Source organism: Homo sapiens, chromosome 18 (assembly GCF_000001405.40).
Source record: "Homo sapiens chromosome 18, GRCh38.p14 Primary Assembly".
NCBI lineage: Eukaryota > Metazoa > Chordata > Mammalia > Primates > Hominidae > Homo > Homo sapiens.
The window spans coordinates 12,277,694-12,290,941 of record NC_000018.10 but is presented as its reverse complement, the minus strand read 5'-3'; the positions used below and the strand labels follow the sequence as shown (position 1 = coordinate 12,290,941).

The following is a 13,248-nucleotide window of genomic DNA, read 5'->3' as shown; positions in this document are numbered from 1 at the left end:
TCACTGCAACCTCTACCTCCCAGGTTCAGGTGATTCTCCTGCCTCAGCCTCCCGAGTAGCTGGGATTACAGGCACCAGCCACCACACCCGGCTAATTTTTATATTTTTAGTAGAGACAGGGTTTTGTCATGTTGGTCAGGCTGGTCTTGAACTCCTGACCTCAGATGATCCACCTGCCTCGGCCTCCCAAAGTGCTGGGATTAGAGGTGTGAGCCACAGCGCCTGGCCTATTTTTCTTTTGTATATTTAATTTTTAAATATAATAAAAGGCAGGGTCTCACTATGTTGCCCAGGCTGGTCTCAAACTCCTGGGATCAAGTGATCCTTTCACCTTGGCCAGAGTGCTGGGATTACAGCCGGGAGTCACGGCATCCAGCCAATATTATTATAATAATTTATAAAATTGTTCCAGGAACAAATAGTGACTGCCATCATTCTTACTATTACATGGATTGGCACATTTTCTTCCTGTCCATACTGAGGATGGAAGTGCTGAGAATGAATGCGGGAAGCTGCTGGTGAGGGCAAGAGGGCAGGGTGTGGAAGGTGCCTAGCAAGGAATGGCAGCCTGCCTTCCACCAGGGCTGGGAGGCTCAACAGCCAACAGTGAGGGCACCCGTGCTCCAGTCTGCAGGGCAGAGGGGCCCTGATGCAACCCTGCAGGGGGCAGGGGCAGACTTTGTGCAACACAGCTGAACTGGCACAGGTTCTGGGAAACAGGATTTCCCAGGGGCACCCTGGTGACTTCTGCCTTCTCTTGCCTTGCAGGCCAGTGGTTTCCAGGACCATGCCTGTGGTGAGTCCAGAAAGTGTGTGCATGCAGGCCAGGATACAGCTTTGTGTGACACAGATTTTATAAGTCAGAACTTGCATCTGTTGATTAGTTATCTTCCTCTTTGCTTTGTGATGGCATTCATGGAAAAGCCATAATTTCAGTGGACCCCACTCAGAACCTTGACCTTTGGCTCTAGTCACAGAACTTTGTTCCCCTAGGCTTCAGACCCTGCCTAGGTACTCCAGACGAGCCCTCCCAGGACCTGGAGTCTCTCCCTGCAGCCCGCACTTCTTGTTTCCTGCTCTCCCCACAGCTGCTACCTCCATCCTTGGTCCCAGACTTCCACCTCTGTCCTCTGCTTGGACCCTGCTCTCGTGCCCATCCACCTCTGGGACTTCTGCCCTTCACCTCTGAAAAAACCCTCGCCTGGCTGGGTGCAGTGGCTCACGCCTGTAATTCCAGCACTTTGGGAGGCCAAGACGGATGGATCACGAAGTCAGGAGATCGAGACCATCCTGGCTAACATGGTGAAACCCCGTCTCTACTAAAAATGCAAAAAATTAGCCAGGCATGGTGGCAGGTGCCTGTAGTCCCAGCTACTTGGGAGGCTGAGACAGGAGAATGGTGTGAACCCAGGAGGCGGAGCTTGCAGTGAGCCAAGATCACACCACTGCACTCCAGCCTGGGCGACAGAGCAAAACTCTTGTCTCAAAAAACACAAAAACAAAAACAAAAAAAAACAACAAAAAAAAACCAAAAACAAAACCCTCGCCCACTTCCCTCCCCTCCTTCCAGCCCCTTCCCCATCTCTGGATCTTTTGGATATGCTCATCTTTCTTCCTGCCTTTCCTGCCACCAGCTGAACTGTTGCATAATGAACAGCTGCCAGCAAAGATATCTAAAGCTGTGCTGCACTTTCTCAGTTAAAAGCACAAGTGGAAGGTTCATTCTTTTTTTGAGGTATTTTTACCCCTGTGGATTGGTTTGAATCAACTTAATCTGCACTGTCTGCACCTCCAGGCTAGGATGAGCCAATGTGCTCTTTTTCAGGTCCCAGATTCCAGGTGGGCAGGATATCACCAGGCCAGCTCTGTGAGAGCTGAGCGACCGCCTCCTGTCTGTACCCACCGCAGCCTCTGCACTCACCAAGCCCTGTCCCAGCAGAGGATCCCGCCTTTCACATTCAGAAGTCCCACCTCCGGCACTAGAATACACATTCCTGAAGGTTAAAGAGGACACCTCCTGCGTGTTGTGCATAAGACTCAGTGTGTTACTTTCTATGCCAATGCCCTAAGCGAGTGATTGTGAATGGAGAGACTAGGACGGCAGAAAGCTTGCCTTGCAGGAGGCACCCAGAATATTATGAGAGGAGGACCCAGAATATTATGACTGGAATAAGGAAAAATTGAATAATGCACGCCTTAGCAAAGTGGCTCTCTCTAGGCTTTTCTCAGAGTTTAACATATTATAAATTAGAATGGCATTAAAAAATAGAATCAGAATGGTTTGCACCTGATTATGATCGGCCAGGTGTTTGCCTGGATTCCATTCCTAGTCAGTCCCCGCCGGTCTAGTTAGGAACCGAGCTTTGTAGCGAGTCCTAGGCTTGGTCTTGCGTGCTCCTTGGAAGGAAGGGTGGTGGTGGGCAGGGAGGTGGATGGCTGGGTCCCCCGGGCCTTTCTCTTGGACAAGGCTGCAGCTCGTCCTCTCTCAGGCTCCAGGGCGGGGAGGGCACCTTCTTTAGCTAACAGCCTTGCTGGGAAAGTTACTGTGATCATGTAGGTAAAAACGCATTGTCAACCGCAAACTTCCAGACGAAAGTCCTGTGAAATTCTTATCGTCTGTTCTGGACAGTGGCGCGAGGGCTATTTGGAGAGTTGAACTCAGTGTGAGCCCAGCACGCCCCGCCCCAGCTGTCTCAGCTGCACCCAGGAATCCTGCGGTGGCCACTCCCCGCTCCAGCTGGCCCCGTGATGCAGAAAACATTTTTCCCCACCCATCCCAGCAACGCTCACCCTTCCTTACTAAGTCACATTTGTGCCTGACTCCCAAGAATACGCTTCACGCCCACGCATGGAATCAAGGGGGAAACCAGCAGATCCGCGCTGTGTCCCTTGCCTGGCCCGGGCACCTCTCGCGACCGCAGTCCTGTCCAGGGCGGACATCGTTCACGTTCTTACAGATGAGGGTGCCGAGTCTGGGAGAGGCCAAGAGACGTGCCCGGGCGCACATTTGGCCCCCAGCTGCTTACAGTAGAAACGGGGCCCCGGAGCTCCGCTGGGTATCTGCTCGGCAGGGCGCCCCCGCCTGCAGCTGCAGCGGACTCGGTCAGAACCTGATTCAACGGGAGGAACCACGTTGTCCAAAGCTCATTCCTGGGAGGGGAGTTCTGCCCAGGCAGACAGGGGGTCACCAGGCTTTCCTTGTCGGATGAGATTTTTCTCCCTGGGCGACCCCCACCATCCTCGCCTCCTCACCTGGCCTCTGCTGGGAGGAGCGGCTGGGTCGGCAGCTTGGGCTGGCCACTGCCTTTACCTGAGCGCCTGCGCCTGGGTCAGCCTGGCAGGCAGCAGCAGGCCAAGGAATGCCCCTGCAGGGAGGTGCGACCGGACAGCTGACGCCCGCCCTGCCTGTGCCGGCTGTTCCGAGGACGCCGGAATGTGGAGTGGGGACCCCGAGAGGGAGTACGCCTCTGCACCATCACTCGGGGGAGCGTGGGGAGCCCGCGTCCTTCACCTCCAGGGCAGGCGGAGGTCTGGGCGCAGGGCGGGCGGGAGCACGGTGCATAGCCTGACACCGCTCATTCGGGCTGAGCTGGCGCAGCTCACCTGGCTGCCAGCACCGACGCCGCATGAGCGCTCTGCGGCCACCTGCATCCAAAGAAAGCCTCGACGGCTTGCCATAGGGAAGCCCTGCGGGTCTTGAGCTCACCTTGAGGAAGCCCTGAGCAGTCAGGAGGCCGTGCCCTCCGGAAACCCTGGCAGCCCTGGTCGTCCAAGTGACAGTCTCCAGAGCTGTGGTTAAAGGAAGGGCTTGGCCGGGATCATGCCTGTCATCTAGCACTTTGGGAGGCCGAGGTAGGAGGATTACTTGAGGCCAGGAGTTCAAGACCAGCTGAGGCCAGGAGTTCAAGACCAGCCTGGGCATCACAGTGAGATCCCCATCTCTGAAATATATACATTTAAAAGAAGAGCTTCATTCACAGTTCCCTGGGAGGGAGGAAGCATTTAAAAAAAATCAATCAATTGGCCGGGCGCGGTTGCTCCTGCCTGTAATCCCAGCACTTCAGGAGGCCGAGGTGGGTGAATCACCTGAAGTCAGGAGTTTGAGATCAGCCTGGCCAACATGGTGAAACCCCATCTCTACTAAAAATACAAAAATTAACCAGGCCTGGTGGCAGGTGCCTGTAATCCCAGCTACTTGGGAGGCTGAGGCATGAGAATCGCTTGAACCCGGGAGGCGGAGGTTGCAGTGAGCCGAGATCACGCCCCTGTACTCCATACCACTGCACTCCAGCCTGGGGGATAGAGCGAGACTCTGTCTCAAAAAAAAAAAAAAAAGAAAAGAAAAGAAATCAATCAATAAAACCCTTTTCATTATAGAACATTAAAAACATACCCAAATCAGAGACTAATGAAAGCCCATGTATCCATCACCCAACTTCATCTGAAACAGATCTTAACAACTGTGCCTGTTTCTTAAAGAAAAGAAACAAAAAGGTGTATTAGTATCTGAGTTATAGTAAATGTTTTCATTCACTCTTTTCAGGAAAAAATGGGCAAATAAATGGTCAAACCTTTTGAAGATACTGTATTGAACTACTCTTAGCCCTTTCTTTCTCCTTAGTGTGAAAATTAAAGGGTGTACTTCCCAAGCATCTGTGCTTGCTATATGCCCAGCCCCATCCAGGCTCCAAGCTCTTTATTTTTATTTTTATTTAGAGATGGGGGTTTTGCTATGTTGCCTAGGCTGGCCTCCATCTCCTGGGCTCAAGTGATCCTCCCACTTCAGCTTCCCTAGTAGCTGAGACTACAAGTGCTTGCCACCACGTCCGGCCCCATTTAAAAATTAGAGTGAATATGCAAAGCTTGAAATAGACAATTTGGCAGGTGCAGTGATTCACACCTGTAATCCCAGCACTCTGGGAGGCTGAGGCAGATGGATCACCTGAGGTCAGAAGTTTGAGACCAGCCTGGCCAACACAGTGAAACCCCATCTCTACTAAAAATACAAAAAAATTAGCCAGGTGTGGTGGCGCATGCCTATAGTCCCAGCTACTTGGGAGGCTGAGGCAGGAGAATTGCTTGAACCTGGGAGGTGGAGGTTGCAGTGAGCCAAGATTGTGCCTCTGCACTCCAGCCTGGGTGACAGAGTGAGACTCTGTCAAAAAAAAAAAAAAAAAGAAAAAGAAAAAGAAAATAAAAGAAAATAACCAATTTGCCTTTTCAGCTTTGGCTCTGCAGCCTGCCTGTTGAGGCCCAGCTAGTCTTACTCTAGCTCCCAGCTTGCCAGACACATCAGTAGATTCTTCATGCCACTTAAGAGATATCTGGGAGCAAATAAAAAGTTTATGGAGTAAAAAATCTGATGCGATTCCAGGTTTACATATTTTGTTGCATTATACAACACTTTATATATATATTTTTTGAGAGTCAAGGGTCTCTCTATGTTGCCCAGGCTGGTCTTGAACTCCTGGCCTCAAGTGATCCTCCCATCTCAGCTTCCTGCGTAGACTTCAGGCTCTCCAGTGGTAATTGAATAAGATGATAACCCCCATAACCCAGGCACTCCAGAGGCCTGGCTGACCCAGCACGCCCGAGGAGGCACCTGTGGATATGGTCTCTCCCAGTCCCGGAGGGGAGGAGGACCAGGTGGGTTTGTCTTCTTCTCTACATCCCCAGGATCTTAGAGGTGGCTTTCAGAGAGATCCCAAGGCTGGTCACAAAGGGACCATCAGGCTTGCCCCAAGGCCAGCCCTGCCTCCCTGGGGGACCCCCCAGGTGGAACCCATTCTAACATCCCCTGTTCAACAGCTGCACCCGGGCTGCCTCCCTGAGCCCCCTGGAGTGGTCACTCTGAAGGGGGCTCCTTCCATTTGTCGTGGTCTTGTTGAAAGATTGTATTGTCATTTAACATTTCTGCTTCACACTGACAGAGACTGCAGGGAAATAAAAGAAGCTAATGAAAGAAATACACCCTGCAGGATTGGGGCAGGTTCAGGGCAGAGCATTGGAGAGCCCAGTTTGTGGACTTGAGAGGACTCTACATGTTGGCTTGTGGAGGAAGTGGGGTGGGGTCCTTTTGGGGAAATGCTGGATCAAGCACAAAGGCACTGCCCTGCGGTAGGGAAGCTGGACAGGAGGGATTAAAAAAAAATAACTCAAGAGGACAGAACTATAACCTGTGGGTAGAAGTTTTAGGGACCCAGATATTTGTCTGAAACCTCCCCAGAGTTAGCTGGCCATGGTGGACCTGTAGTCCCAGCTACTTGGGAGGCTGAGGTGGGAGAATCTGTTGAGCCTGGGAGGTCAAGACTGCAGTGAGCTCTGATCATGCCACTGCACTCCAACCTGGGCAACAAAGCAAGACTTTACCTTAAAAAAATAAAACACACCCTAAGACAGACAAAACTGCACAAGTTGAACGAGCTCCTGTTGCAAGGGCTGCCATATCTCAGTGTTCAAGCCAAGGATGGTGAACAGCACGGGGATCTTGGGGAGAAGGGTTTCTGTGCACCTTCATAACATCTGAGACTCAGCTCCCAACCCTGGCACATTTTATCCTTTGAGGAGAGAGATGATTTTTTTCCTAAAGTAAAATATCATTTGGAGTAAATCCTGGTGAATTAGGTAAAGGAATAAGTCAAAGCATTACTGTTAATTCTTCTGTTAGGTATAGGAGTGAGTCAAACCTTTCAGGTTTTTATTGTGTTTGTGTGGCAGGTAGCGGAGACTCACTGGGCCGGTGGCGCAGGGGTAAAAGAATTTACCAAGACAGTTGTAGGTAAAGAAAGGCAGATTTATTAGAGAAAGTAGGAAAATGTGTTGCAAGGTTGCAGTGGGCAGAATCAGCAGAAGAGGAGCTGCCTGCCAGGAGACCAAGGCTGGCTGGGGAGTTTATAGAATGGAACTTGAGCTGACTGATAACTAACTTCCATTTTTCTATCAGCCTAGGTGTTTGATAAATTAAGGTGTTTGTTGATAAGCAGGAAGCTTGTGAGCTCTGTACGTTATCTGCTCAGGAGGGCCACATGTCCTGGACCATAAAGAAAAACAGACCCACAGCATGTCTGTTTCCTCTCTTTGTTTATCTGTCCTGGACCATGGAGGAAGCCAGACCCATTGCTCATCTGCTTTATCTCTTTGTTTTCACCTGGTGCCACCAACCTGACTCCTTTTTCCTCATTAGGACTCTGCAGATTGCATGGTTTTCTTTCTTTTTTTTTTTTTTAAAAAAAAAAAAGAGATAGAGTCTTACTCTGTCACCCAGGCTGGAGTACAGTGGTGCAGTCATAACTTACTGCAGCCTCAACCTCCTGGGCTCAAGTGATCCTCCTGCCTCAGCCTCCCAAAGTACTGGGATTACAGGTGTGAGTCACTGTGCCCAGCCTTTGTAAGTTTGAGGTCTAACCACATACCAATGAGGCAGGTGTTGGTATATGGCTTGAAAGTGATCCTGCCTTAGTTGTCTTCCCACATGTCATTCCCATGAGCTGTGTGTACAGTTGTGTGACTGTGCGGGCTGGGAAGTCTGAAATCTGCAGGGAGGCTGCAGGCTGGAGCCCCGGAAGAGCTGATGTCGCAGCGCCACCCGCAGGGCTGTCTGCGGGCAGAATTCTTTCTCTAAGGGGATGTCAGTTTTTTCTCTGAAGGCCTTCAATGGACTGGATGAGGCCACTCCCTAATGGGCAACCTGGAGGGCATGTGCTTTACGTAAAGTCCACAGCTTTAAATGTTAGTCTCATCTTCAAAAATATCTTTCACAGCAACATCGGGATTGGTGTTTCACCAGAAACTGGGTGCCGTGGCCTGGCCAAGTGGACACGTAAAGTCACCATCACGAGCAGTAACATCACAATGGCTGGGTGCGTGGGGGGCTGTGGAAAAAACACTGCTTTTTCTCTCTGCTTTCACTCTCAATACAGAGTATTTCACCTTAGGGCACCGAAATGCGTGGGGATTTCTCTCCACAGACAACCCGTTCTCCAGCAGACACCAGCTGAGTGTCCTCTCATTCAATTCAACTCTGACACAGTCCTCTTGGAGACAGCATCAAACACCACGGGCTGAGAGCTCAGTCCTCAAGGCTGCCCTCACTTTTCACGCCCATTGCAAGCCCCAAGCTGTGACAAATCTCAGTTCCCCTGATCCCCGGCTTGGGGGTGGTTAATTTGCTAGGGTAGCTCACAGAACTCAGGGAAATCCTTTCTGTATGTTTAGCCTTTTATTATGAAGGATATTACAAAGGACACAGATGAAGACACTCATGGGGAAGGCATGTGGGGCAGGGCATGGAGCTTCCGTGGTCTCCCTGGACACCACGATCTCAGAGCCTGTACGTGTTCACTCTCTGGAAGCTCTTTGAGCCCTGTAGCTTGGGGATTTTTCTGGAGCCTTCATTACATAGGCACAATTGATTACCTCATTGGCCACTGGTGATTGATTCAAACTTCAGCTCCTCTCCCTTCCCCAGAGGTTGGGGGATGTGGCTGAAAGTCCTGACCCTTTAATCACAGGGCTGGTTCCCTGGCAACCAGCCCCTATCCTGAGGCCATGCAGGAGCCCACCAAGAGTCTCCTAAAATGATGCTCCTGGCCAGGCGCGGGGGCTCATGCCTGTCATCCCAGCCCTTCTGGAGGCCAAAGCAAGTGGATCGCTTGAGCCCAAGAATTTGAGATCAGCCTGGACAACATAAGGAGACCTCATCTCTACAAAAAATAAAAATGATTAGCCAGGCATGGTGGTGTGCAGCTGTAGTCCCAGCTACCTAGGAGACTGAGGTGGGAGGATCACTTGAGCCCAGGAAGCTGCAGTGAGCTGTGATCACACCACTACACTCCAGCCTGGGTGACAGAGCAAGATGCTGTCTTGAAAAAAAAAAGAAAAGATGCCCCCATAACCCAGGAAATTCCAAAGGATTTAGGAATTCTGTCAGCCATTCCAATCACTCAGGAGATTACAGATTTTAGGAGATCTATGTCAGGAATGGGGGCAGAGGCCAAAAACGTATTTTTTATTATATCACAATATCACAGGGGTCCTGGTACCCTGGCCTGGCCTTGGAGTGGCAGGGAGAACCTGGCTCCCAGCAGTGGTGGCCTGAAGCCTTCTTGCAGGTGGGCTGGGGGAGTTGCCGCAGTGACCTTCACAGACTGGCCTCCGACAGTCATAGCCAGTGGGCATCTCAGGGGAGGCCTGGGTGGGACACAACTCCCCATAGTCGGAGTGTGTCCCCCACTGCCTTGGCACATGAGCCCCTGGGGCATGAAGTGGGGGAGACCACTCAGTGGAGTGGAGGCTCAGAATAAAAGGCACTGCACTGATCATCAGATTTTAAAAGCAATAGCTCATGCCCATAATCCCAGTCCTCTGGGAGGCTGAGGTGAGAGGATCACTTGCACCCAGGAGTTGGAGAGCAGCCTGGGCAACATAGTAAGATCCTGTTGCTAACAACAAAAAAAAAATCTAAAAAAAAAAAAAAAAGATGATGAGCTGGGTGTGGTGGTGTGCACCTATAGTGTCAACTACTTGGGAGGCTGAGGTGGAAGATACATTTAAAAAAATGTTATGTTGGCCAGGCATGGTGGCTCACACCTGTAATCCCAGCACTTTGGGAGGCCAAGGTGGGTGCATCACCTGAGGTCAGGAGTTCAAGACTAGCCTGGCCAATGTGGTGAAACCCCAAAAATACAAAAATTACCTGGGTGTGGTGGCACGCACCTGTAATCCCAGCTATTCAGGAGGCTGAGGCAGGAGAATCGCTTGAACCCAGGAGGCGGAGTTTGCAGTGAGTCGAGACCACACCATTGTACTCCAGCCTAGGCAATAAGAGCGAAACTCCATCTCAAAAGAAAAAAAAAAAGTTATGTTGATTTTGCCACAATACAATAAAATCTTGGGGAAGACAGAGCTCTCCTCCTGGCCCACTGGGACTTGAGAGCTGGCTGTCAGAGCTGGAGGGCAGGCAGGTAGCCCCATGGCCTCTGCTGCTGGAGGGGGCCTGGTAATTCTAGCAAGGAATAGCTGTCCCCGTGGAGGTGATGGTAGAGAAAGGTGCTGGCCACAGTTTTCTTTCCCTACAATTTATAACACAGGAGGGAGTGGGAGCCAGGAGACCCTGTGTGGGGACAGTGCCATCCTGGGTGGAGGCCCACCCCCACATGTGGCTTGATGAGCCGCCCCCACCTCATCACATGAGGAGAAAGGAGAACTTCCCTTTGGGGAAATGGACCCCCGTTTTAGAATCCTAGTCCTGAAGAGGCCTACGCCATGGCTTTGAGCTGGGCTCCTGACCTGGCGGGTGGTGACAGTTTCCTTGGGGTGCAGGAGAAGGGCAAGCTGTGGCTGGCCAGCTGAAAAGTGCTGGCTGGAAGAGGGACCGTGTTTACATTTTTAAAATCTGGGCCAAGAAAATCTGTCTGGGAATGGAGTTCCTGGACCAAGTCGATTGGATCCTGATTTTATGGATGAAGACAGTGGTTTGGGCTGTGAAGTCTGGTCACTACAGGTGATTTTAGCCAGAGTCTGTCTCTGGCCATGAGATCATGGCTCTTAGAGCATTTCATTCTGATGTCCTCAGTTCATCCCAGGCCTGCACTCTGTTCCCTGCTGCTGGCAGAAAGTGCTCCTTGAATCTAGCCTACGGATCATGTGGCAGAAACACACCAGGACGCATGCGCGTGGGATGCTCATGGCAGCTACCTGTGTTTGTGCGCCTGAAAAAGAGGTCATAGGAGTGACGTCCAGGTCCATGTAGTGACTGCAGGAGCATGAAACCTGGGCTCATGGGAACCATTTCTTTTTTTCTGAATTGTGATTCTAGAAGTGAATAATTTCCAATTCGAGCTCTTCTGCTTGGCCCCATCAAAGACACACAGACGAACACTCAGCCCCTGAAGGGACACACACGCCACCCTGGGGGTTCAGCTGAAGGCTTAGGTGGAGGCGGCATCCAGGCCTCACAGGGTCCAGGCCCTGAGCCCGCTGGAGTGCCTTGGCTCTCCCCACCCACCCTCACCTGCATGGGGCACATCCTGGTCTGAGCTAGCGGGCTAAATGCAGATGATAGAGAAACTAAGATGAGAACGAGAAAGTGTCACATTTGGAGTGCCTGTCACCTAATCCGAACCAGAGACAAGACAGCCACGCCTGCTGGGACCCTTCCCCTAAGGGAGTGGGTTTCAATTCCACCAGTCTCCTGGCCAAGGGCCCACTGAAGACTTTGACAATAGCAAAACCAACCTTTGCTGCCTCCTCCCTGAGGCCTGGAGCCTCCCTGAGGGTTCTGCGAAGAGGCTGCTCTGTCCCGGGCCACTCCGTGAATCATGGGCACAGGAGACAGGGCGGCGGTGGCCGCAGCTCCTTCAGAAGCTCCCAAATGCCAAGAGGTCCTTCTGAATGTCCTCCCCTTTCCCATGGGGAGAAGGCCAGCCCGTCCCTTCCCCAATTCCTCCCTTCGAACAGGTTGGGCCCCCACAGTTTCCCCACCATCTGGACGTAGGCCTAGGGCCTCTCAGCGAGTGAGGGCAGGGGCTGAGTCAACAGGATCAGGCACTGGAGTGAAAATTCCTTTTTTGGAAGCCAGGCAGTCACTGCCCAGGCCGGTGGAATCCTTGGGAAGTGACGCAAGCCCAGAGTCAGTGAGAGGCAGGAGTGAGCGCCCCTCGGCCAGGCCGGCCACACGCCTGGCTACAGCCCTCCTCCTCACCTCCTCTCCTGCTGGCCCGAGGTGGGCAGGGCGGTCAGGAGCTCCTTATATAGGAAATGTTTTGAAGTCACAGCAGACGGCCTGTGCCTGAACACTCTTTGTAACCCTCGCTCTACCAGCAGCGCAGCTCATTCTGGAAGGCAAGAAGGGATAATACTGAAAGTGCCTGTTTTTTTCGCAGTGTGAAAGAAGAGCCTGTGCTTTGAGGAACGCCACCTCCTTTCCTTTTGTCTGTCCTGCTGTGGGGCCTGGCCCAGCTTCTCCAAGAACTGGCTCAGACACAGTGAGAGCCCAGGACTCAGCGCCGGTCACGGGGCCTCTCAAAGGGGACTGCAAACTGTCTGTGAAGGGAGGACCATCCCTGCCGGGAACGGCTGAGCAGCAGCTGGGAGCCCCGGGAAGGGGGTAGGGGAGGGGAGAGTTTTTCTTCCTCTAGGGTTCCGGGACACACTGTGGTGTCTTTCTGTGGCCAGAGTTGGTGGCTAGGGAAGGAAAAGGCCTCCAAGGCATCATTTCTTAATCAGGAAATATTTTTCTTCTAGCATCTGTTCCCCCTGATTCTAGGAACAGCACCCTATTTCTCTTTGGGGTGGCTCCAGGACTCAGTGTGTGGCCCAGCCTGGCAGAGCCACCAGCTGCTGTGTCTGCAGCATGAGGTGTAACCCAGGACATCCAATGGGGGGACAAGGTGTAGCCCAGAGCTTCCTGCTGCAGGGCCTGAGGTCTGCACTTGCTTCCACTTGAGGGGGTCCCCCCTCCCTGCAGGGAATCAGATCCAAGAGAGTGGGAGACAGATTCTTACAATGTTGTCTGATTGCCTTCGTCCAGCTGTGCCTGCAGCTAGAGATCCCAGCCACGGACAGGAGGTTCCTCGCAGCTGAGCCAGCATGAGGCACAGCTCCACCTTGGCAACGCGGTGCCCCACCTGGCTGCAGGCAGAATCTGCAGCTGAGGGTGCAGCAGTTGTTTTTTGGTTTTTAAGAAAAAGGCTGGGCCGGGTGTGGTGGCTCACGTCTGTAATCTCAGAACTTTGGGAGGCCCAGGTAGGAGGATTGCTTGAGTCTAGGAGTTTGAGACCAGTCTGAGCAACATAGCAAGACCCCATCTCTACAAAAATAAAAAAAACTAGGGGTGGTGGTGTGCACTTGTAATCTCAGCTACTCAGGAGGCTGAGGTGGGAGGATGGCTTGAGCCCAGGGAGGTCGAGGCAGCAGTGAGCCGAGATCAGGCCGCTGTACTCCAGCTTGGGTGACAGAGCTAGACCCTGTCTCAAAAAAAAAAAAAAAAAAAAAAGAAGAAAAAGAAAAAAGAGGCTGAAAAAGTAAAGTCCTTTCACTTTCACAAGTGAAAAAGTAAAAAAGTCCTTGAAGACCTCCACAATTTGAGTCCTTCAGTGTGAGGGCCCCTTTGAGCCTGTTAAAAATCCATGTTTGAAAAAAACATACAATAACATTTTGCAGCTTGTTATTTTTGTGGCACTAATAAAGACTTATGAGAGATTATATCTGTTAGCAGAATATTCCTGGATGAGTTTTGCTTCTATATAA

The 13,248-nt window shown here is 51.7% G+C and overlaps 4 annotated features.

Moving 5' to 3' along the window:
* Positions 911–1,674: an enhancer, noted in NCBI's record as "H3K4me1 hESC enhancer chr18:12289267-12290030 (GRCh37/hg19 assembly coordinates)". NCBI's record gives its function as "activates a minimal SCP1, AML or CMV promoter by ChIP-STARR-seq in naive H9 embryonic stem cells {active_cell/tissue: H9 hESC(naive)}" and the evidence as "EXISTENCE:reporter gene assay evidence [ECO:0000049][PMID:30033119]".
* Positions 1,925–2,918: an enhancer, noted in NCBI's record as "H3K27ac-H3K4me1 hESC enhancer chr18:12288023-12289016 (GRCh37/hg19 assembly coordinates)". NCBI's record gives its function as "activates a minimal SCP1, AML or CMV promoter by ChIP-STARR-seq in naive H9 embryonic stem cells {active_cell/tissue: H9 hESC(naive)}" and the evidence as "EXISTENCE:reporter gene assay evidence [ECO:0000049][PMID:30033119]".
* Positions 2,919–3,914: an enhancer, noted in NCBI's record as "H3K27ac-H3K4me1 hESC enhancer chr18:12287027-12288022 (GRCh37/hg19 assembly coordinates)". NCBI's record gives its function as "activates a minimal SCP1, AML or CMV promoter by ChIP-STARR-seq in primed H9 embryonic stem cells {active_cell/tissue: H9 hESC(primed)}" and the evidence as "EXISTENCE:reporter gene assay evidence [ECO:0000049][PMID:30033119]".
* Positions 9,291–13,245: an enhancer, noted in NCBI's record as "VISTA enhancer hs1751". NCBI's record gives its function as "enhancer in: heart[8/8]" and the evidence as "EXISTENCE:transgenic organism evidence [ECO:0001131][PMID:17130149]".